This window comes from Homo sapiens, chromosome 4 (assembly GCF_000001405.40).
Source record: "Homo sapiens chromosome 4, GRCh38.p14 Primary Assembly".
Classification (NCBI taxonomy): domain Eukaryota; kingdom Metazoa; phylum Chordata; class Mammalia; order Primates; family Hominidae; genus Homo; species Homo sapiens.
This window is the reverse complement of record NC_000004.12, coordinates 103,604,451-103,629,189: the sequence shown is the minus strand read 5'-3', so window position 1 is coordinate 103,629,189 and position 24,739 is coordinate 103,604,451. Positions and strand designations below refer to the sequence as shown.

Genomic DNA, 24,739 nt, shown 5'->3' with positions numbered 1-24,739 from the left:
TCAGTATGATATTGGCTGTGGGTTTGTCATAAATAGCTCTGATTATTTTGAGATACATTCCATCAATACCTAGTTTATTGAGAGTTTTTAGCATGAAGGGCTGTTGAATTTTGTCAAAGGCCTTTTGTGCATCTGTTGAGATAATCATGTGGTTTTTGTCATTGGTTCTGTGTATACGATGGATTACATTTATTGATTTGTGTCTGTTGAACCAGCCTTGCATCCCAGGGATGAAGCTGACTTGATTGTGGTGGTTAAGCTTTTTGATGTGCTGCTGGATTCAGTTTGTCAGTATTTTATTGAGGATTTTTGCATTGATGTTCATCAGGGATATTGATCTAAAATTCTTTTTATCTCTGCCAGGCTTTGGTATCAGGATGATGCTTGCCTCATAAAATGAGTTAGGGAGGATTCCCTCTTTTTCTATTGATTGGAATAGTTTCACAAGGAATGGTACCAGCTCCTCCTTGTACCTCTGGTAGAATTCAGCTGTGAATCTATCTGGTCCTGGATTTTTTTGGTTGGTGGGCTATTAATTATTGCCTCAATTTCAGAGCCTGTTATTGGTCTATTCAGAGATTTGACTTCTTCCTGGTTTAGTGTTGGGAGGGTGTATGTGTCCAGGAATTTATCCATTTCTTCTAGATTTTCTAGTTTATTTGTGTAGAGTTGTTTATAGTATTCTCTGATGGTAGTTTGTATTTCTGTGGGATCAGTGGTGATATCCCCTTTATCATTTTTTATTGTGTATATTTGATTCCTCTCCCTTTTCTTCTTTATTAGTCTTGCTAGCAGTCTATCATCAATTTTGTTGATCTTTTCAAAAAACCAGCTCCTGGATTCATTGATTTTTTGAAGGGTTTTTTGTGTCTCTATCTCCTTCAGGTCTGCTCTGATCTTAGTGATTTCTTGCCTTCTGCTAGCTTTTGAATGTGTTTGCTCTTGCTTCTCTGGTTCTTTTAATTGTAATGTTAGGGTGTTGATTTTAGGTCTTTCCTGCTTTCTCTTGTGGGCATTTAGTGCTGTAAATTTCCCTCTACACACTGCTTCAAATGTGTCCCAGAGATTCTGGTACCTTGTGTCTTTTTTCTCATTAGTTTCAACGAACATTTTTATTTCTGCCTTCATTTTATTGTTTACCCAGTAGTCATTCGGGAGCAAGTTGTTCAGTTTCCATGAAGTTGTGCAGTTTTGAGTGAGTTTCTTAATCCTGAGTTCTGATTTGATTGCACTGTGGTCTGAGAGACAGTTTGTTGTGATTTCTGTTCTTTTACGTTTGCTGAGGAGTGCTTTACTTCCAATCATGTGGTCAGTTTTAGAATAAGTGTGATGTGGTTCTAAGAAGAATGTATATTCTGTTGATATGGGGGTGGAGAGTTATGCAGATGTCTATTAGGTCCGCTTGGTGGAGAGCTGAGTTCAAGTCCTGGATATCCTTGTTAACCTTCTGTCTTGTTGATCTGTCTAATATTGACAGTGGGGTGTTAAAGTTTCCCATTATTATTGTGTGGCAGTCTAAGTCTCTTTGTAGGTCTCTAAGGACTTGCTTTATGAATCTGGGTGCTCCTGTATTGGGTGCATATATATTTAGGATAGTTAGCTCTTCTTGATGAATTGATCCCTTTACCAAGACTTTTTTTAAAAATTTATTTATTTATTTATTTTTTTGACCGAGTCTTGCTCTATCGCCCAGGCTGGAGTGCCGTGGAGCAGTCTTGGCTCACTGCTACCTCTGCCGCCCAGGTTCAAGTGATTCTCATGCCTCAGCCTTCTGAGTAGCTAGGATTATAGGTGCACACCACCATGCCCAGCTTTTTTTTTTTTTTTTTTTTTTTTTAATGGAAACACAGTTTCACCATGTTGGCCAGACTGGTCTCGTACTCCTGACCTCAGGTGATCCATCACCCTGGCTTCTCAAAGTGCTGGGATTACAGGTATGAACCACCAAGGAAGAATTAGCACAACTTTAATACCTAGACTTTTTTTTTTTTTTTTTTTTTTTTTTTTTGAGACGGAGTCTCACACCGTCACTTGGGCTGGAATGCAATGGCATGATCTCGGCTCACGGCAACCTCCGCCTCCTGAGTTCAAGTGATTCTCCTGCCTCAGCCTCCCAAGGAGCTGGGACTACAGGTGCCTGCCACCACGCCCAGCTAATTTTTTTTTTTTATTTATTTTTCACAGAGATGGGGTTTTGCTATGTTGGCCAGGCTGGTCTCCAACTCCTGGCCTCGTGATCCGCCCACCTCAATCTCCCAAAGTGCTGGGATAACGGGTGTGAGCTACCGCGCTCGGCCCCACCACAATTAAAACAATACATAGGGACCTTTGGAAACTTTATATTATATAGATTACTGATACAGTATGCAGTAAACTAAAAATTCTAATCAGTAAAAAGAAATTATACCATGCATTTATTACTCATTATAAAGTTACAAATTCCCTTAACCTTAAACTATACTGAAAACAACAACAAACACAATGCCTGCTTTCTTTCATACCGGAGAAAACTACTTCAATGTTTTGTAGGACTATATTTATCAACATCAAATATAAATTACCTGGCCATGTAAAATAATTACTAGAGAGGTGCAGTTAACAGAATGATGAATAGCAAGGACTACACGCAGGCTTAAGTGTTGCAAATCTCCATGGCATATTTGCTAACCGACACACATTCCTGCAAGCCTCCCATTCTGCCCCAGGCCCTTAGCTGGTTACACCAGCTATACGTCTTTTTCCTAAACACAAAAATTCGTCAAAAAAAAATAACAATAATAATAAAAGCCCACATAAAGGACAGGCTTTTTTGTCTTAGCGTCCTTTTGGTTGACAGCTAAGATCCAGAGGTGACATATGACCAGGCTCTCTCTGATGGATGTAATTGGTAAAAGATACCAGATTAGATTAGTAATTTCAGCCACAGAAGCACCTATGTAAATTACACATGTATATGACTCAACATGGATCTACCTAGGTTGAATAACAATACAAACGTCAGTTCACATCTGTCCCATATGATTTAGAGGGTGATGAGGTGATAGGGAGGGAAAGGTAAAAATGATAGTTTGTTAGAGCTGCCATAACAAAGTATCACAGACTGGGTGGCTTAAACTATAGACATTTATTTTTCCACTGTCTTGGAGGCTAGAAGTCCAAGATCAAAATGTAGGCTGGGTTGATTTTTCCCGAGGCCTCTCTCCTTGGCTTGTAAAAGGCTCCATCCCTCTGGGATCTTCATGTGGCCTTCCCTTCAGGTCTGTGTCCTAATCTCTTCTGATAAAAGCACAGTTATTTTTGGATTACAGACCAGGTGTATGATCTCATTTTACCTGAATTGCCTCTTTAAAGGCCCTATCTTCAAATTCTGTCACAGTGTAAGGTACTGGGGGTTAGGACTTCAACAAAAAAATTTTAGGAGGACATAGTTCAGCAGATAACACAGAGGTTATTTAAAGTCTTTAGATATTGATCTCTTTGATCCAAGTCACCTCATAGATTCCGGGAGCTTCCTGGCACCAAGGATGAATTCTGCTCTAATATGAAGATACAGGTTTCATGGCAAGTGAGAGTGCTACTAAATAAAGGTAGAATTACAACCCCCCACCCCCTACTCCCATATCATTCTAACTCGTTTATTCTTTAGCTGAAAGAAAATTGAGGAAAGTATTTTTCTGCTGGCCTGACTTGAATATTTTACTCCTTTTGTTCATCCCTACTTGGCAGTTTTTTTTCCACTTTCCCTTGCATTTCTACTTCTCTTTTGTCTATCCTTGCCTTACAGGAAACAGTTCATTTCAAAATTATTTCACCTTTTCATTTGTACATAATCTTTGTAACAAGGGACCAAGTTTTTAATGTGCCTAGCACAACACCTACTTCCCACCAAGAGAGCACTCTGTAAATGTCTCATAGTCCTTACACGTTTTATACCATTCAATTCCCAGTAATATTGTTTTCATTTATCATTGCCTATGTAAACCAGATTTTAGCAGCCTCCATGTATATAACTTTTTTAATTTTTTCATATGTCCTTAATGAAAAATGTAAATTTACTGAGGATTTTGTAGATGAGTCCAAAAGGATAATTTGTCTCTCACGGCATAAAATTCCTTTCAACATTTCTTCTGAAGTCAGTTCTGAGGCAATTGCGTGTTTCTCTCTTTTTTAATCTCCTTCTCTCTTTTCTTCTCCCTCTCTACCTTTCCCTGTCTTGCTGCTCCCCCTTGATCCATTTCTCTGATCCAGAAAGACCATTCACCCACACTTTTTAAAGACAAATTTAGAATTGTTCTGACAATTCAAACTGTAGCCCTCTTCCTATAATTCAAATGATTCCAAACTTCCAAATACCTACCCACATCTGTTACCCTATTCAGAAAAAACAAAATATTCTCCATGTACCCACATTTCACTCTCCTTCAAGTCAAAAGGGAATTACAAATAGAAAAATAATGTTTTGTCTTACAAACCATGTTACACAAATGCTTTATTTCTGTAATTCCAATTACATGCTGTAAATCTCTTCAGATTTCTTTCTAATACTATTTTCATTTGTATTTCATTTCAACAAAGATTTCGGGGAGACTTTCTTCTACTACTTTGCTTAAGTTGTAAATTCCAAAGTGCTATGATTTTCTATACACCTATATACTTTACTCAGCATATTTTCAAATTTATGGCTTTGTCGAAATCATTTGTATGCCTCTCAAGCCTGTCTTTAATCTTTTTTTATTTGAAAACATTTAGAACTAGTGGAATAATGCACTGTGATTACTTTATCCCTTTTGATTCTCAGGTATTATCTTCAGATTATTTCTGCTTCATTATTTCATCATTCTCCAGTAAGATGTGGCAGTCTTATATAAATCTCTGCAACAGGAATTTCTAAAGCCTCTTGCTGCACCATCTAAGCCCAGACAAGGAAAATTATTTTTGCTAACACCCTAAAGGAACATACATGCTTTGTATACTAAATCTGCAAAGAAAAACAGCATCATAAAAGACATGAGAACAACACAGAAAACAGTAATTGCATACCTAAAGGGAATAGGAACTCAAATATTAATTAGAATAAGCAACGGGTCCTTCAAATGTTACCCGTGTGGATTAAAAGGCAGACAATCAAGTATGAAATAATTCTCTTCATATAAAGTTTCTCATTAGAAATTAAAAACTGATGAGTGATAGTGAAAGGTTGATATGCCACAGTTAACCTAGATTGAACAAGGTAGTGTGTTTTACTTTAAAACAAAATACCCTGGAGAACTAGAAGTCACTGTTTTATTTACATTATTCAGAATATAAGCCAGGTCTCCATCATCCGAAAACGAGTCTACCTTCTAGCTGTGAGATTTCCTGGAGCATCTCCTAGAAAATTTCATTACCAAGCAAGAAATTTTTGCAAGAAGGACTATGCATAGAGACCTCTGAATCCAGTACTGTGAGGCAATAAGTAAATCAACTTACATTTATTTAGGGATCACTTGTAATACATTGAATGGGAGACCCTATGCCTTAAAATTCAGTTTCTATTGCTCTCTGGTCTTCCTATAAGACTGCCTAGGATTTAGGCAGTCTTGGGCAAGTGATTCAAAAATAAAGGATTTAACCCACACCCTCCTTAAGTCTCATAACCTAAAATGGGACATATAGTTCAGATACGTTTTGCTATAGTCATGTTATCAAATTTTTATATGGCACAAACATGGCTGTTATAGTCTATGATTACAAGCCAAAATAAATTTTGCCATAAAATAAGCAGAAAACTATTTTCCAGCATATGAAGTTGTTAATTAAAAAAAAATAGAGAAAAATCCCAGGGTGTCTATCTTTGCATGATTTAGCAGCATAAATCAGATTCTCTTCTCTCTGAAATATATAGCTTTGCAAATATATTTTGATCCAACTAAAGTACCAGATTACAATAGTTGAGTGGAAAAAAGTTTATAGTTTTATTTGTATAAATTTTAAATACATGTATAAAGCATTAATGTATTTATTTTAAATCTTCTTCACAGGAAGATTTAAATAATACAATATTTAAAATAATGTATCTTAAATCCTCCTGTGAAGAGGAGGATTTAAGATAAATATATATTTTAAAGACTTTGTTATTTAAATTTGTACATTATTTTAAATACATTAGGTAGGTATACTCCAGTTGGAGGACAGGTAGATCCAGGAAATGACCTCGTGGCATTTTCATCTTTTAAATTTTGCCCTCTGATTCATTTTGAGTAGAACTTTAACATGCATTTTATTTTATTTTTGGAAGTGTAGTTTCTTAAAATTGGGTGAATGCCCTTATCCAACCACCTTGACATTAGTCTCCTCTGGGTCTGATAGCTGCTTGCTACTGAGCTCCATAACTCCACAGCAATGCAGTTCTTCTCTGGTACCTGAATAATTCCTAGTATTGAATTTTGGATTCTTTTTTATGTGGGGGTTGGAGGTTCAATTGGCCACATATTTTTGGCTAGACTCACTCTGAACACCTCATCAAGCCTCTCGGCTCACTGCAAGCTCCGCTTCCCGGGTTCACGCCATTCTCCTGCCTCAGCCTCCCCAGCAGCTGGGACTACAGGCACACGCTGCCACGCCTGGCTAATTTTGTATTTTTAGTAGAGACGGGGTTTCACTGTGTTAGCCAGGATGGTCTCGATCTCCTGACCTTGTGATCCGCCTGCCTCAGCCTCCCAAACTGCTGGGATTGCAGGCGTGAGCCACCGTGCCTGGCCTTTCACTGATTTCTATCTTTTCATGTCCTTCATCCACTCATTACCAATATTCTGTATCCTTGGCACTTCCTTCTCAAGAGTAGTCCTCCGTCAATGAAACCATCTGTCTTCTGAACCATGACCTATTTTACTTCACCATGTTCTCTCTTCAAAATGTAAGTATGCTCACATCTCTTTGCCTGCTTCTCTTATCAATCTTTTACACCTTTGATTAATTCGCTGTGGCTTCCAACACACCATTCCACTGAAACCACCCTTGCCAAAGTTACCTTTGACTTCTTTGTTCCTAAATTCATTGGATGTATTCAGTCCTTGGCTAGACTGAAGGAACAGACACCCTTTGATCACTCCCCCTTCGAGAAGTCTCCCTGTCCATGGCATTGGTGTCCTTTCTCTCTGCAGACCATTCCTCTTCAGTAGACTTTTTTGGCTTTTCTTCTTCTAACAACCACTTAAATGCTACTCTTTACCCAAAGTCCCATTCTTTATATTTTTATACTTTCATTTAGGATCTCATTTGGATAATCTCATCTCCCAGGATATCAACACCCTTAAAAATTACTTTCAAATCTACATTTGTATTATGCCCATATCTAGATTTCTCTAGGTTTAGGCCCTGAGCTTGAGATTAAAATTTTATTAACCACCTCTCACTCCAAACCTATGTGTAGTAGACGCTTCAAAGTAAGCTGGTAAAAACTAAATAATAATTTTTGCTCTGAAATGCCTGTTTCCATTTTATAGAATATTCTTAATATCTGTACAGTGGTCCAGACAAAAAATCTGGAAATAATCTATAACTTTTCCCTTTCCTTAATCAATGTTCAATGAATGACAAGGACCTTCAAATTAACTCTAAATGTACTCATATAGTTATTTTCTTCTTTCCTAAGCCTTTTCTCCATTCTTGTTTAGAACTACCTAATTCTTTGTCTGAATTTATAAAAAGCCTCCTGCCTATCTTATATTCCACTCAAATGAAGTCCATTCTAAACTGTCTTCAAAGTATCTAAAATCTGAATTTATGAATACCCTTATTAAAATTCTTTAATGGTTTCTCTGACCTGTAAACACATATTGGCCCTCTATTCTCATCTCCATCCTTATCTCCCAGCTTCTTCATCAGCATACCTTGTAGTACATGGTACATCCCACTCAGCGAAACTATTCGTAATACTAGAAGGAGGCATGAGTTTTGGTTACCTTATTTTCTGTGATCAGAAGACTCGTCCCTGCTTTCCCCCACTGCTTTTCAATTGCTCTCATCACAGACAGCTATTCTTCTAGAAGGACTCTTCAATATCTCCACTTCCTCAGTGTTTCACATTGAGCTTCCACAATACCACATGGAAAACTCTAGCATGTGGCATACAACATTATATAAGTAATGTTCTTTTGTTTAGCTATCTGTTCCAAGAAATTTTACCAAACTGAAGAGCAGGGTCTATGCCTTAGCATTAGATATTCAACAACTCACAAGGTACATAATTCAAGAATGGTATAAATGCTTATAAGATTAATGAATGAATCTGTTTCCTTGGAATCTTTATTTTTTAAAATTTAACTTTTATTTTAGAGACAAGTACATGTGTAGATTTGTTGTATAGGAATATTGTGTGAAGTTGATGTCTGGAGTATGAATCCACATCCCCCAGGTGTGAGCATAGTGCTCAATGGGTAGTTTTTTAAATCCACCCCCACCCTCCAGTAGTCCACGATGTGTATTGTTCCCATATTTATGTCCATGTGTGCTCAATGTTTAGCTCCTACTTATATGCAAGAACATGTGGTATTTGGTTTTCTATTCCTGCATTAGTTTGTTTAGGATAACGACCTCCGGGATCATCCATGTCCCTGCAAAGGACATGATTTCCCTCTTTTTTATGGCTGCATAGTATTTCAAGGTGTATATGGGCATTTTTTAAATTGTACTCTATCATTAATGGGTACCAGGGTTGATCACATGTCTTTGCTATTGTGAATGAATATGCAGTGATGAACGTATGTGTCTTTTAGGTAGAATGATTTATTTTCTTTGGTGTACCCAGTAATGGGAATGCTGGGTTGAATAGCAGCTCTATTTTAAGTTCTTTGAGAAATCTCTGGACTGATTTCCATAGCGGTCATGCTAATTTATGTTCCTACCAATAGTGTTTAAGCCCCCCAACAGTGTTCCCTTTTCTCCACAACCTCACCAGCATCTGTTGCTTTTTGACTGTTTAATAAAAGCCATTCTGACTGGTGTAAGATGATATCTCATTGTGGCTTTAATTTGCATTTCTCTGACAACTAGTGATGCTGAGCATTTTTTATATGTTTGTTGGCCACTTGTATGTCTTGTTTTGAAAAATGTCTGTTCATGTTCTTTGCCCATTTTTAAAATAAGGTTTTTTTTTTTGCTTGTTGATTTAAGTTCCCTATAGATTCCAGATATCAGACATTTGTCAGGTACATAGTTTGTGAATATCCTCCATTCTGTAGGTTGTCTGTTTGCTCTGTTGATAGTTTTTGTTTGCTGTGCAGAAACTCTTTATTTTAATTAGGTCCCACTTATCAACTTAGCAAGTTTTTGTTACTTTGGAGACATTCCTGGAATACAGGGCTGTTTCAATATCTGCAAGTTGATAATTGTGATTCACCACACAACCAGAATCAATAGCACAAATCATATTGTCATGTCAATAAATGCAGAAAAACCTTTTGATAAAAATCCAAAATTTCTTCATGATAAAAACCCTCAACATACTAGAGTTCAAAGGAATACACCTCAAAATAATAAGAGCCATCTGTAACGGACCCACAACCAACATCATATTGAATGGGCAAAAGCTCAAACCATTCTCCTTGAGACCTGAAACAAGACAAGGATGCCGACTCTCACCACTCCTATTCAACATAGTACTGGAAGTCTCAGCCAGAGCAGTCAGGCAAAAGAAGGAAATAAAAGCCATCTAAATAGTGGCCAGGTGCAGTGGCTCATGCCTGTAATCTCAGCAATTTGGGAGGCTGAGGTGGGCAGATCACTTGAGGTCAGGAGTTCAAGACCAGCCTGGCCAACATGGTGAAACCCTGTCTCTACTAAAAATACAAAAATTAGCCAGGCGTGGTGGCAGGTGTCTGCAATCCCAGCTACTCAGGAGGCTGGGGCAGGAGAATTGCTTGAACCCTGGAGGCAGAGCTTGCAGTGAGTTGAGATCGTGCCACTGAACTCCAGCCTGGGTGACAGAGTGAGACTCCGTCAAAAAAAAAATAGGAAGTCACGCTATCTCTCTTCACAGATGATATGATTGTATACCTAGAAAACCCTATAGTCTCTGCTCAAAGACTCCTAAAATTGATAAACACTTTCAGCAACTTTCAGAGAAAGAAATGAAAAGCATCCAAATAGGAAAAGAAGTCAAACTATCTCTCTTTGCAGATGGCATTATTCTCTACGTGAAATATCCTAAAGACTCTGCCAAAAGGCTCCTAGAATTGATAAACAACTTTAGTAAAATTTCAGGATACAAAATCAACGTACAAAAATCAATAGCATTTCTATATACCAGCATTCCAGGCTGAGAGATAAATCAAAAGCACCATCTCACTTACAATAGCCACAAAAAAATAAAATGCCTACAAATACAACTGACCAAGGAGGTGGAAGATCTTTACAAGGAGAACTACAAAACACTGCTGAAAGAAATCAGAGAGGACACAAATAAATAAAAAGCATCTCATGCTCATGGATTGGAGGAATTCAATATCGTAAAAATGGTCACACTTCCCAAAGCAATTTACAGATTCAGTGCTATTCCTATCAAACTACCTGTCATTCCTCACAGAACTAGAAAAACTAGTCTAAAATTCATATGGAACAAAAAAAAAAAAAAAAAAAAAAAAAAAGCCCAAGTCACCAAAGCAATCCTAAGCAAAAAGAACAAATCCAGAGGCATCATACCACCCGACTTCAAACTATGCTATAAAGCCACAGTAACCAAAACAGTTTGGCACTGGTACAAAAGCAGACACCTAGACCAATGGAAGAGAACAGAAAACTCAGAAATAAGCCACACACCTACAACCAACCATCTGAACTTTGTCAAGACTGACAAAAACAAGCCACAGAGAAAGGATTCCCTATTCAACAAATGGTGCTAGGATAACTAGCTAGCCATATGCAGAAGATTGAAGCTGGACTCCTACCTTTCACCATATACAAAAATTAACTTAAAATGGATTAAAGCTTTCAATGTAGGACCTCAAATTATAAACATCGTGGAAGACAATCTAGGAAGTACTCTTCTCAACATCGACCTTGGCAAAGAATTTATGGCTAAGTTCCCCAAAGCAATTGCAACAAAAACACAAATAGAATTATTTTTTCTGATGACAAATGCCCTCAAAGGATGACTAAAAGCCAGTGAAAAAATATTTTTCCTAAACTCATAGACACTGAATTTTTAGGATATTTTATGATTTTTCTCCCATCAATTTTATTTTCTCTATCTACAAGCATCATGACATCTGGTGATATTTTTTTCTCTCCTAATTACCTTCCCCCAGGTGCCTGATAAACACATATTCTTTCAAAATGATACTAGTTAAGTTCATTCCTCTATTTAAGTCATTACTTAAAAAATAATCATTATATATGAAAGTTTACATTTAATATGGAGGGTAGAATATTTCAAAATAAATCAGTTTGCTATACATTTTCTTGCTTGTTTTTCTTAAACCATGACTCAAATGAATTATGATCTTCTAATATTTATGACTCAAATAAACATTAAACGATAATGAATCATTTTGATATTCCAAGTCTGGTTTCCACTTTTGATGAGGCAGCATACACCAATTCTTATGTTTATGAGTTGCTAAAAAGAATAGACTCTGACCAGAAACAGCAGCAATTAATGGGAACTTAACAATAGAAAGATTTTGCTTAGAAGTCCCCCAAAATTAATTTTTTTCTTCTAGTAATGATGAAAACAAATGTTTTATTCTAGAGCTATAGTCTTGGAAAAAGATTTGAGATAGTAACAAAATGAATCAAGTATTATCAAGTACTTTTTATCAAGTATTTACATAATCATGATTAAAATGAAATGTTTTGTATTGATTTAAGATATTATTCTAAGATTTGCATTTGCTTCTCTCTTTCTTTAAATACTTTTTATATCTCTCCTGAAATTCTCGATTTTTTAACTCATTATAACTAACTTTTTCTGTAGATACCTTAATATGTTTATCGTACTTATTTAAAGGTCTTCCCTGCTAATTGTGAAATATATTTGCTCATTTTGTTTCTTGACTATGGATTACATTTTTCTATTTATTCACATGTCTCATAATTTTTTGTTGCTTAGTGAACATTGTGAAGTAGCATATTAAGAGTCTGGATCATATCTTCATCTGAAAAATTCTATGCTTTCTCCTGTAAGTCAGTTAAAATTACTGGTGGGTCATCTCAGATTTGTGGAGGTCTGGGTTTTTTAATTCTTTTAAATTTAATATTATTTTGAAATAAGGTCTTGCTCTGTTTACCAGGTGATAGTGCAGTGGCCTGATCATGGCTCACTGCAACCTGGACCTCCTGGGCTTAATCGACATGCCCACCTCAGCCTCCTGAGTAGCTGGGACTACAAGCACATGCCACCATGCCCCGCTAATTTTTGTATTTTTTGGTAGAGACAGGGTTGTACTATGTTGCTCAGGCTGGTCTCAAACTCCTAGGCTCAAGAGACCTATCTGCCTTGACCTCCCGAAGGTCTGAAATTACAGGCGTGAGCCACTGCGCCTGGCTGAGATTTGGTTTTATATTTTGTTAGGGAAATCTATTTTAGTTTTGCCCTTGGTTTTAGGATAATCTTTTAATCTTTTAATTTTAGGCATAGCATTTAAGCATACACCTGGGAAAATTAGGGTTTCTACTGAAAACAGTTTTTACTGAGGATTTTTCTCTAGTTTGGTGGGACTCAAATGTATACATACAAATACATGCATACATATATATGCACAAGTATAATGTATATGTGTGTGTCTATAGAGAGATAAATATACATGCTACTCTTTACATTGTACAATACTATATATACTATATACTCCATATGTTATTTATGTATATGCTCTGTACATTTGTGATACACAAACACACACACACACACATACACGTATGTACTCTGCCATTATTGGGAGCCAGAATCCCTAAAATTCTTATATTGGAAACATCTTTATAATAATATGTCCTGTCTTTTTTTCTTTGGTTGTCTGTTCTGTGCTGTGTAGTAACCCACAAACTTGTATTAATGTTTCACTTAAAACTTTGCATTCTTCACTATCCTGTCTAGGAGTTTCCTCTAGCACAGGTCATGAATTTCTGACATTACTGACCTGTATGAATCCATAACATTGAATTTTCCACAACATCTGCAGTTTTTCTGACATATTATGGGAAACATTTGAATGCACTGTTATAAAATGTATTTCCGGAATTGTCAAAGCAGAGGATATTACTCTTTCTCAGAAAATATTTATGATCTAAAGGAGTAGATATATAGACAAGCTGTTTTCCTTTATCTCAGATGAAATTTATGAGCCAGTACAAATTGAAATCTTAAATACAAACAAAAAAATATACCGAGATTTCATGCCTTGGTTAATTTTATGCTCTATATATTACAGTTAAGAATTAAATTGCCATTAGAGTCTGTGTACTTTTTTACTGTTTAAGAACATATATTGTCTTTTCATTGTGAAACATATTTTATTAAGTTTTATTTTTCTAATTTTCCAGTACAACTAAAACAAATATCAAGAACAAGACATTTAGTCTTTTTCTTTCTCTGGTAATCATCACAATAGTTTTTTAATAGGAAAGCTATTCAAGGAATATCTATCATCTTGTTATTTTGTGGAAATATGCTATGTTGGAGAAGTAGTAAAGCCATTATAACTATCCAACAATTAGGCTTGCTATTTTTTAAGTTGCAATGAGAAACATGAATCTGATGCCACTTCCCAAAACAAACCCATTTCCCTCTCTCTCTCTCTCTCTCTCTCTCTCTCTCTCACACACACACACACACACACACGATAGCAGGAAATATGGTAAAAGGAAGAGCTGTTTTAACTGCTTTAACTCCTACTAGCTGCATACTTGCTATTATGAAATTTGACAGAAGTATTTGGCCCTCCAGTACTCGGTCTTCATGTTACCCATGGTCCCTCAGCTCACGACCATGGTCTTCTCTTGCCTTTACAAATACATTCATAGGACGGGCGCGGTGGCTCACGCCTGTAATCCCAGCACTTTGGGAGGCCGAGGTGGGCGGATCACGAGGTCAGGAGATCGAGACCATCCTGGCTAACACAGTGAAACCCTGTCTCTACTAAAAAATACAAAAAAATTAGCCAGGCGTGATGGCGGGCGCCTGTAGTCCCAGTTACTCAGGAGGCTGAGGCAGGAGAATGGCATGAACCTGGGAGGCGGAGCTTGCAGTGAGCGGAGATCGCGCCACTGCACTCCAGACTGGGTGACAGAGCAAGACTCTGTCTCAAAAAAAAAAAAAAAAAAAAAAAAAAAACACATTCATAATCAACTTAGGTTATAGTGCTAATGATTTAAAATATGATTATAAATTAGCAAGATCATGAAAATGAAGTAAAAATGAATATCTTACTGAATATTGAATATTGAATGAATATCAAGCCCAGAGTATGTTGAGTTTGGCATTCACATTTTCATTTAGTCTTCATAATCCCCTGAGTGATGAGTGTTCTCATCTCTTCTTCACTAATAAGACTATTGTGTCCTTGGGCAAATTACTTAATCTTTCTGAACATCAATATTCTTACTATATCCAATATACTAACGTAGTCTAGATTTAAATCAAATTTTGTAACTTTAATGCTCTTAGCACTGCAGTACACTACTGTGCAATGAAGACTGAAAGGTTTGACTGTAACCATTCCATGAAGAGCATGAGCTTAAACATATACCACTGCTCAACCATTTAATGATTCATTTAAAGCCTTTGCCTCAACACTAAATGGAACCAAGTTAATAAAACCTAGACCTTAGAATATCAAGGAAAAAAAAATCTGTCAGTTTTTTGGCTTTACTACTTCTCCAACATAGCATATTTCCACAAAATAACAAGATGATAGATATTCCTTGAATAGCTTTCCTATTAAAAAACTATTATGATGATTACCAGAGAGAGAAAGAAAAAGACTAAATGTCTTGTTCTTGATATTTGTTTTAGTTGTACTGGAAAATTAGAACTCAAAGGGAAAGTCTAGAAAGTAATAGAACTAAACATTCATAAATGAACATTTGAGAATATATCTTAAATTTATTTTTGCTAAGGACTAAATTGTACATCACCAAAATTCATATGTTAAAGCCATAACACCCATTATAACCGTGTGTGTAAATGAGGTCTATAAGGAGGTAAAGTTAAATAAGGACATAAAAATGGGATCCTTATACAATAGAATGAGTATCCCTATAAGAGGAGATGCCAGAGTTCTCACTCATTCATTCTCTTTCTGTCTCTGCCTCACTCTTTCTCTCTCTTTCTCCCCTTCTCCACTCCCTCTCCTCCTGTACCAAAAAAAAAGAGGTAATGTGAGCACATAGTGAGGTGGTAGCCACCTACAAGCCAGGAAGGAAGCCTTCACCAAAATGTAACCATGCTGGCACCCTGATCTTAGACTCTCAGCCTAAAGAACTGTGAGAAAATAAATGTCTGTTGTTTAAGCCACCCAATCTATATGTTGTTATGACAGTCTAAGCTAAGACAATTTTCATTTTATTACCAGCTATTAAAATACAATATTAGTCTTGCACGGTGGCTCATGCCTATAATCCCAGCACTTGGGGAGGCCAAGGTGGGCAGATCACAAGGTCAGGAGATCAAGACCAGCCTGGCCAATATAGTGAAACCCCGTCTCCACCAATAGTACAAAAAAAAAAAAAATTAGCCGGGCGTGGTAGCGCACACCTGTAATCCCAGCTACTCGGGAAGTTGAGGCAGGAGAATCGCTTGAACCTGGAAGGCAGAGGTTGCAGTGAGCAAGATGGCAGTTTTCCCTAAGTAATGCTTAAAAGCATTATTTTAAATAATTTTCACACAACCTTATGAGGTTAGCCTCATTTTATAGGTATGTGAGAAAGCTGAGGCTTTATCACACAGATATTTACTAGCAAGGTTGGGACTAGAATTCTTATCACCTGGCTCTTAGTCCTTCTTTTTAATCACAACGCCTATGTTATTATACTAAAAAGTAAGCACTTTGCCTATACAAAGACTTATTTTCACCAGCACTATATACGACAGCTAAAATATAACTAGTATATTGACCATTTTTGCACATTACAAAACTATCCGTATATTATTAATTAGATTTGCAATATAGAAAGAGACTCTAAAGGGAAACTTTATAACACTCTCTCAGAAGCCCATATGATGTTTAAGCTGTTTTTTATCTAGGGCATCACAACTCCAAACCATGTATGAGAATACCAATCTTTCACTTTGTACCATTCATCTATTTATATATTCATTTATTCATTTATTTAAAAGAGGGTTATCATGTGCTCTGGGTATTCTTCTAAGCACTGGAGAGAGAGAGAAATGCAAAACACAGCTTCCCAGGCCAGGCTCTGTGGCTCACGCCTGTAATCCCAGCACTTTGGGAGGCCAAGGTGGGCAGATCACCTGAGGTCAGGAGTTTGAGACCAACCTGGCCAACATGGCGAGATCCCAATCTCTACTAAAAAACACAAAAATTAGCTGGTGTGGTGGTGCACACCTGTAGTCCCAGGTACTCAGAAGGCTAAGGCACAAGAATCACTTGAACCAGGCGGAGGTTGCAGTGAGCCAAGAGCAAGCCACTGCACTCCAGCCTGGGTGACAGAGCGAGGCTGTCTCAAAAAATAACCACAAGAAAAAAAAAAAAGAACTTCATGGGATTTGCATTTAAGCAGGGCAAAGATAACCCCTAAATAAACAAGAGAGTAACAAATTACACTGGAAAAGCTGAAGGAAATAAGCCATGAAAGAGAATAATTGCAATCGGAGTTGTTTTCAACTAGGGTGGTAGGAAATGACTGTTGGAGTGATATTCTAGCTGAGTTCTTATCAATAAGAACAAATAAAGCACACAAAGAATTAGGAGAAGAGCACTCCAGGCAAGAAAGACAACATAAGCAATGCCTGAAGTAGGAAAATTATTGATGTTTTTAAGGATCAGAAAGAAGTCAGGATGTTGGGGCATAAAGAACCAATGGGAGTATGTAATGGGTGAGACTGGAGAACACGGCAGCAAAATATAACAGAAGCTTTGAATGTTCAGTTTTATTTCAGATACAATAAGAAAATTATTTTAAGTAGAGGGTAATCTATTTTACATTTTTTAAAAAGTTACTGTATCTGCTATTTGGAAGCAGAGGCCAATTAGATGGTTATCGCATTTGTTTAGGAGAGAGACAACAATGCTTTCTCAGAGGTTATAGTAGTAGAGATGACAAGATATTAAAAGATATAAGACTTATTTTGATGTCTTGGTCAATAGGATTTGCCAAGTGATTGAATGGGGCAGTGAAAATGAGGAAAACCAAAGAAACAACCATGACTTATAAGTGTCTGTCTCTGGCAGTCAGATAGATGATGATGACACTTACTGAGGTGTGGATGTTCACAAGAAGAATGTAGCTTTTAGAGGGGCAAAAAAGTAAACTTTTTTATTGGCCTTTTGCTCCAGAATCATTCTCCTCTACTTCTTGATGCCATGTCTGTGTTAAAAAAAAGGAAATGCTTGTCTACTAGACAGTTTAACTATAATTGAAACATAATTAGCTGGCACCTCCAATATGTACAGATTGCATTAGTTCAAAAGAGGTAATGCATGTGGCACAGAGCCTTGCACATAAAAGGTCTCCAACAAATTTTACTCCCCCTCTGCCTTAGGAGGCAACTGTGTGTACCTTACTTTTGCTCTTTAAGGTGTTAATTAGTTATTAATTATCACCAACAGCAAACTCTCTAAAAAAGAAATTAAGAAATCAATCCCACTTACAATAGCTACAAAAAAATAAAGTAACTAGGACTAAACTTAACCGAGGAGATGGAAGATCTCTACAATAAAAACTATGAAACATTAACAAAAGCAACTAAAGAGGACACTAATAAGTGGAAAAATATCCCATCTTCTTGGACTGGAAGAATTAATATTGCTAAAATATCCATACTACCCAAAACAATTTACAAATTCAATTCAATCCCTATCAGAATACCAATGAAAGTGTTCACAGAAATAGGAAAAACAATCCTAAAATTTTCATGAAATTATAAAAGACCCTGAATAGCTAAAGCAAGCTTGAACAAAAAGGACAAAGCTGGAGGCATTACACTACCCGACCTTAAAATATACTAAAAACAAAAATAGTGAAAGCAGCATGATACTAGCCTAAAAACAGACACATATACCGATGGAACAGATTAGAGAACCCAGAAATAAATCCACACTTTACACCCGACTGATTTTTAACAAATGCACCAAGAACACACATTGGGGAAAGGACAAGCCCCTAAATGGGGCTAGGAAAACTGGTTATGCATATGCAGATGGATGGAACTAGACCTCTGTTTTTCAACACTTACAAAAATCAACTCAAAATGGATTAAAGATATAAATGTAAGACCCAAAACTATGAAACTACTAGACAAATTTATGGGGAAATGCTTTATGACATTGATCTGGACAAGGATATTTTGAATAAGACCTCAAAAGCAAGAGAAATAAAAGCAAAAATAGGCAAATAAGATGATGACAAACTAAAAAGCTTTTGTACAGCAAAGGAAATAATCAACAGAGTGAAGGGACAATCTACAGAATTGGAGAAAATATTTGCAAACTATGCCTCTGACAAGTAGTTAATATCCAGACTATATAAGGAACTCAAACAACTCAATAGCAAAAATAATAGTAATAATAAAATTTAAAAATGGATAAAGGATCTGAGTAGACATTTCCCAAAAGAAGACATACAAAGGACTAACAGGTATATGAAAAACAATGCTCAACATCACTAATTATTAGAGAAACACAAATTAGAATCACAATGAGATATAATCTCATCCCAGTTAGAATGGCTATTATGAAAAAGACAAAAAATAACAAATGCTGGCAAAGGTGCACAGGAAAAAGAACTCTTATACACTATTGGAGGGACAAACTGTAAACTAGTACAGCCTTTATGGATAATAACATGGAAGTTCCTCAAAAAATTAAAAACAGAACTACCACATAGTCCAGCAATTCCATTACAAGGTACATACTCAAAAGCAATGAAATTAGCATGTTGAAGAGATACCTGCACTCCTATATTTATTGCAGCACTAATCACAATAGCCAAGAAGTGGAATCAACCTAAGTGTCCACCAAGAGATGCATGGTTAAAGAAAATATGGTTATATACGCAATACAATGCTAGTTAGTCATAAAAAATTATTTTTTATGATTTGTAACAGTTTCCATGAACCTAGAGGACATTATGTTAAGCCAACCACAGAGGAACAAACACCACAAGATTTCAGTCATATGTAGAATCTAACAAAGTTTACCTTATAGAAGAAGTGAGTGGTTACTTCTCACTAATCACTAGTAGAATAGTGGTTACCAGAGGCTGAGGAGAGTGGCAGGAGAGGGGATGGGGAGAGGTTGGTCACCAGGTACAAATTTACAGTTCGATAGGAAGAATAAGTTACCATGTTCTATTACACAGTAGGTTGTCTATAGTCAACAATAATGTATTGTACACTTCAAAATAGCTAAAAGAAAGGATTTTGAATGTTCTCACTACAAAGAAATGACAAATGTTTGAGATAAGTATTCTGTTTACCCTGATTTGATCATTTCATTATATATGTATTGAAACACACTACCCCACAAATAATGTACAACCATTATCTGTTAATTATAAACAAAATAAAACATAAAAATAAAAGACCAAATGTACTTTTATGTTGCTCCTTTTTGAGTTATTTCTTATAATAAAAAGCAGTTTCTTTCTTTTTGCATTGCTGATATTGAGGGAAGACAGCAAGAGCTTCTATAACATATATTTTGAATTATATTTGCTTTAGGGTGTAAATAAATCACACTAACACAATATTACATCCTACAAAAACATTTGTGTATGGAAATAATTTTGTGGCCACTGTTGAAATAGAATGCAGTGAATAAGGCCAACAAATATCTATCTTTTTCTATTAGTAGCTTATCACTAATAATTCCACAGCATAATGAAGCCTGTGCTATGATATTCATTACACTGTGTAGTTCCCTATTACACACTTCATATTTTTGGCCACCCTAGAGGCAGCCCAATTTCTGAGCACTTTCAATTTTATATGAAATATGTATGATTTAGGGAAGAATACACTGTTTTCTAATCAAATTAATTCCTCATCTATTTAGCTAATGACATTGCCTCAGGCTCTATTAATTTATTGATTTTACAAATATTTATTCAGAATGTTCTATGTGCTACCTTGTTTGTAGGCACACTGAGCACTAGTTATTAAGAAACTAGGAGACAATAGATGAAATTAGATTTCTGACCATGTAACTTACTTACAAATCCATTTGATATACTCTCTACAATCATACCTTTTTATTACAATGAAGAAATGTCCACCTCCCCAAAGTTTGCAGAATCCATTTGCTCATACTCTGTTAGAAAGCATAAGCCTTCGGTTGTACTTGGCGACCTATAGGCTTATTCCAATAGCATTCAAACACCTTTCAGTATGTTTAATTTTAGAAAATTATCTTTTGATCCTCCACCCAGCTTCCAATCTATGTCCCTCCATTATAACCAATGAAAACATCCATAATTCTTTTTTTATTTCAGATTCACGGGGTACATGTGCAAATTTGTTTCATGGGTATATAGTGTGATGCTGAGATTTGGGGTCTGGATTCTATCACCCAGGTAGTGAGCACAGGACCCAATAGGTAGTTTTTCCACCTATGCTCCCCTTTCTCCTGCCTCTAGTAGTCTACAGTATCTATTGTTCCTACTTTTATGTCCATGCGTGCTTAATGTTTAGCTTCCACTTATAAGTGAGAACAAGTGGTATCTCGTTTTCTATTTCGGTTTTAATTCATTGAGGATTATGGCCTCCAGCTGCATCCATGTTGCTGCAAAGGACATGATTTTATACTTTTATGGCTATGTAGTTTCCCATGGTGTATATGAACCACATTTTCTTTATCCAATCTATTATCGATGAGCACCTAGGTTAATCCCATGCCTTTGCTATTGTGAATAGCGTGGTAACGAACATATGAGTGCGTGTGTCATTTTGATAGAATGATTTATTTTCTTTTAGGTATGTATCCAATAATATTTCATTCACACTTTAAACCTTTCCATTTAGATTTTGACTGCACAATTCCACCACAGGTACTCTGGTTCAGTTCAACCACTAGTCTCCATGGAAACGATCATTTCTTATCTTACTAAAACTTTGAGCAACATTCTACAGGACTGGCAATCCCTCCTAAAGGAGAGGAAAACCCTGTAGTGATGTTTCTGACCACGTTATAGCAGTTTTCTTGCCAAACACTGCTTGTTCCTGATATCCTTTCCAGCCCTTTGTCTCTATCTGACTGACTTCAAAATGTCTGACTTATTTGGGGCTTAATCTAGACCACTTCTCACTCTCTATTCTCTGAGTAATTTCATTCATTCCCATGGCATTAAATATCATCTAAAATGTATATTTGAAGTCAATATTCTCTATATGTTCAATCTAAGTATACAATAGATTAAGTACACAAAAACAACTGTATTTCTTTCTTAAGCCTATATTATCACATGGCTCAAATAGCTATTCTTTCCAAACATCCAGCCTGCTAGAGACAAAAACTAAGAGCAATAAAGATTATTTTAATTTAAATATAAAATATTTAAAAGTATTTTTGTTTTATTTATTTTAAATAATATTTTTGAATTCTTATTATGAGCATAATAACACTAAACACTGGTAAGATAAAAATAAATACATAATGCTTCCTGCAATTCAAATGTTCATAAACTGAGTCTGAAAATCAGATACCTTCAAAAGTCAAAAGATACCTTCAAAATTCAAAACTCAAAAACTATGCTAATTTCTAGGGGCACAAAATGAATAATGCATAGGCAATGATATGGACTAAAAGAAACAAAAACATGCTTAACAATACCGCATATCTGTTACAAAAGATAAGTATGATTTGCTAAGTCTAATTAAGAATTATTATCTCTTGAGATAATCATGTGGTTTTTGTCCTTGGCTCTGTTTATATGCTGGATTACATTTATTGATTTGCGTATATTGAACCAGCCTTGCATCCCAGGGATGAAGCCAAAATTCAACAACCCTTCATGCTAAAAACTCTCAATAAATTAGGTATTGATGGGATGTATTTCAAAATAATAAGAGCTATCTATGACAAACCCACAGCCAATATCATACTGAATGGGCAAAAACTGGAAGCATTCCCTTTGAAAACTGGCACAAGACAGGGATGCCCTCTCTCAACACTCCTATTCAACATAGTGTTGGAAGTTCTGGACAGGGCAATTAGGCCGGAGAAGGAAATAAAGGGTATTCAATTAGGAAAAGAGGAAGTCAAATTGTCCCTGTTTGCAGATGACATGATTGTATATCTAGAAAACCCCACTGTCTCAGCCCAAAATCTCCTTAAGCTGATAAGCAACTTCAGCAAAGTCTCAGGATACAAAATCAATGTACAAAAATCACAAGCATTCTTATACACCAACAACAGACAGAGAGCCAAATCATGAGTGAACTCCCATTCACAATTGCTTCAAAGAAAATAAAATACCTAGGAATCCAACTTACAAGGGATATGAAGGAGCTCTTCAAGGAGAACTACAAACCACTGCTCAGTGAAATAAAAGAGGATACAAACAAATGGAAGAACAGTCCATGCTCATGGATAGGAAGAATCAATATTGTGAAAATGGCCATACTGCCCAAGGTAATTTACAGATTCAATGCCATCCCCATCCAACTACCACTGACTTTCTTCACAGAATTGGAAAAAACTACTTTAAAGTTCATATGGAACCAAAAAAGAGCCCGCATCGCCAAGTCAATCCTAAGCCAAAAGAACAAAGCTGGAGGCATCACACTACCTGACTTCAAACTATACTACAAGGCTACAGTAACCAAAACAGCATGGTACTGGTACCAAAACAGAGATATAGACCAATGGAACAGAACAGAGCCCTCAGAAATAATGCCACATATCTACAACTATCTGATCTTTGACAAACCTGACAAAAACAAGAAATGGGGAAAGGATTCCCTATTTAATCAATGGTGCTGGGAAAACTGGCTAGCCATATGTAGAAAGCTGAAACTGGATCCCTTCCTTACACCTTATACAAAAATTAATTCAAGATGGATTAAAGACTTAAACGTACGACCTAAAACCATAAAAACCCTAGAAGAAAACCTAGGCATTACCATTCAGTACATAGGCATGGGCAAGGACTTCATGTCTAAAACACCAAAAGCCATGGCAACCAAAGACAAAATTGACAAATGGGATCTAATTAAACTAAAGAGCTTCTGCACAGCAAAAGAAACTACCATCAGAGTGAACAGGCAACCTACAAAATGGGAGAAAATTTTCACAACCTACTCATCTGACAAAGGGCTAATATCCAGAATCTACAATGAACTCAAACAAATTTACAAGAAAAAAACAACCCCATCGAAAAGTGGGTGAAGGACATGAACAGACACTTCTCAAAAGAAGACATTTATGCAGCCAAAAAACACATGAAAAAATGTTCATCATCACTGGCCATCAGAGAAATGCAAATCAAAACCACAATGAGATACTATCTCACACCAGTTAGAATGGCAATCATTAAAAAGTCAGGAAACAACAGGTGCTGGAGAGGATGTGGAGAAATAGGAACAGTTTTACACTGTTGGTGGGACTGTAAACTAGTTCAACCATTGTGGAAGTCAGTGTGGCAATTCCTCAGGGATCTAGAACTAGAAATACCATTTGACCCAGCCATCCCATTACTGGGTATATACCCAAAGGACTATAAATCATGCTGCTATAAAGACACATGCACACGTATGTTTATTGCCGCATTATTCACAATAGCAAAGACTTGGAACCAACCCAAATGTCCAACAATGATAGACTGGATTAAGAAACTGTGGCACATATACACCATGGAATACTATGCAGCCATAAAAAATGATGAGTTCATGTCCTTTGTAGGGACATGGATGAAATTGGAAATCATCATTCTCAGTAAACTATCGCAAAAAAAAGCCAAACACCACATATTCTCACTCATAGGTGGGAATTGAACAATGAGATCACATGGACACAGGAAGGGGAACATCACACTCTGGGGACTGTTGTGGGGTGGGGGGAGGGGGGAGGGATAGCATTGGGAGATATACCTAATGCTAGATGACGAGTTAGTGGGTGCAGTGCACCAGCATGGCACATGTATACATATGTAACTAACCTGCACAATGTGCACATGTACCCTAAAACTTAAAGTATAATAATAAAAAGAAAAAAAAAAGAATTATTATCTCTCTAATGACCAGTGATGATGAGCTTTCTTTCATATGTTTGTTGGCCACATAACTGTCTTGTTTTGAGAAGTGTCTCTTCATATCCTTTGCCCACTTTTTGATGGTGGTGTTTTTTTTCTTGTAAATTTGTTTAAATTCTTTGTAGATTCTGGATATTAGCCCTTTGTCAGATGGATACATTGCAAAAAAATTCTCCCATTCTATAAGTTGCCTGTTCACTCATGGTAGTTTCTTTTGCTGTGCAGAAGCTCTTTAGTTTAATTTAGATCCCATTTGTCAATTTTGGCTTTTGTTGCCATTGCTTTTGGTGTTTTAATCATGAAGTCTTTTCTCATGTCTACATCCTGAATGGTGTTGCCT

At 36.4% G+C, this 24,739-nt stretch overlaps 1 protein-coding gene and 1 long non-coding RNA gene across 2 annotated transcripts in view; one reads left to right on the top strand and one right to left on the bottom strand.

Annotated features, from left to right (window-relative positions):
* Nucleotides 1–24,739, top strand: part of TACR3 (tachykinin receptor 3) — a 133,955-nt gene that overhangs the window by 90,796 nt on the left and 18,420 nt on the right. The gene's annotated exons all lie outside the window — the stretch shown is intronic.
* The window catches only part of TACR3-AS1 (TACR3 antisense RNA 1), a 75,707-nt gene continuing 55,706 nt past the window's right edge, over nt 4,739–24,739 (bottom strand). The window contains exon 5 of the long non-coding RNA NR_186501.1: nt 4,739–4,909. This is a non-coding gene — a long non-coding RNA (TACR3 antisense RNA 1). The remainder of the gene's footprint in view (nt 4,910–24,739) is intronic.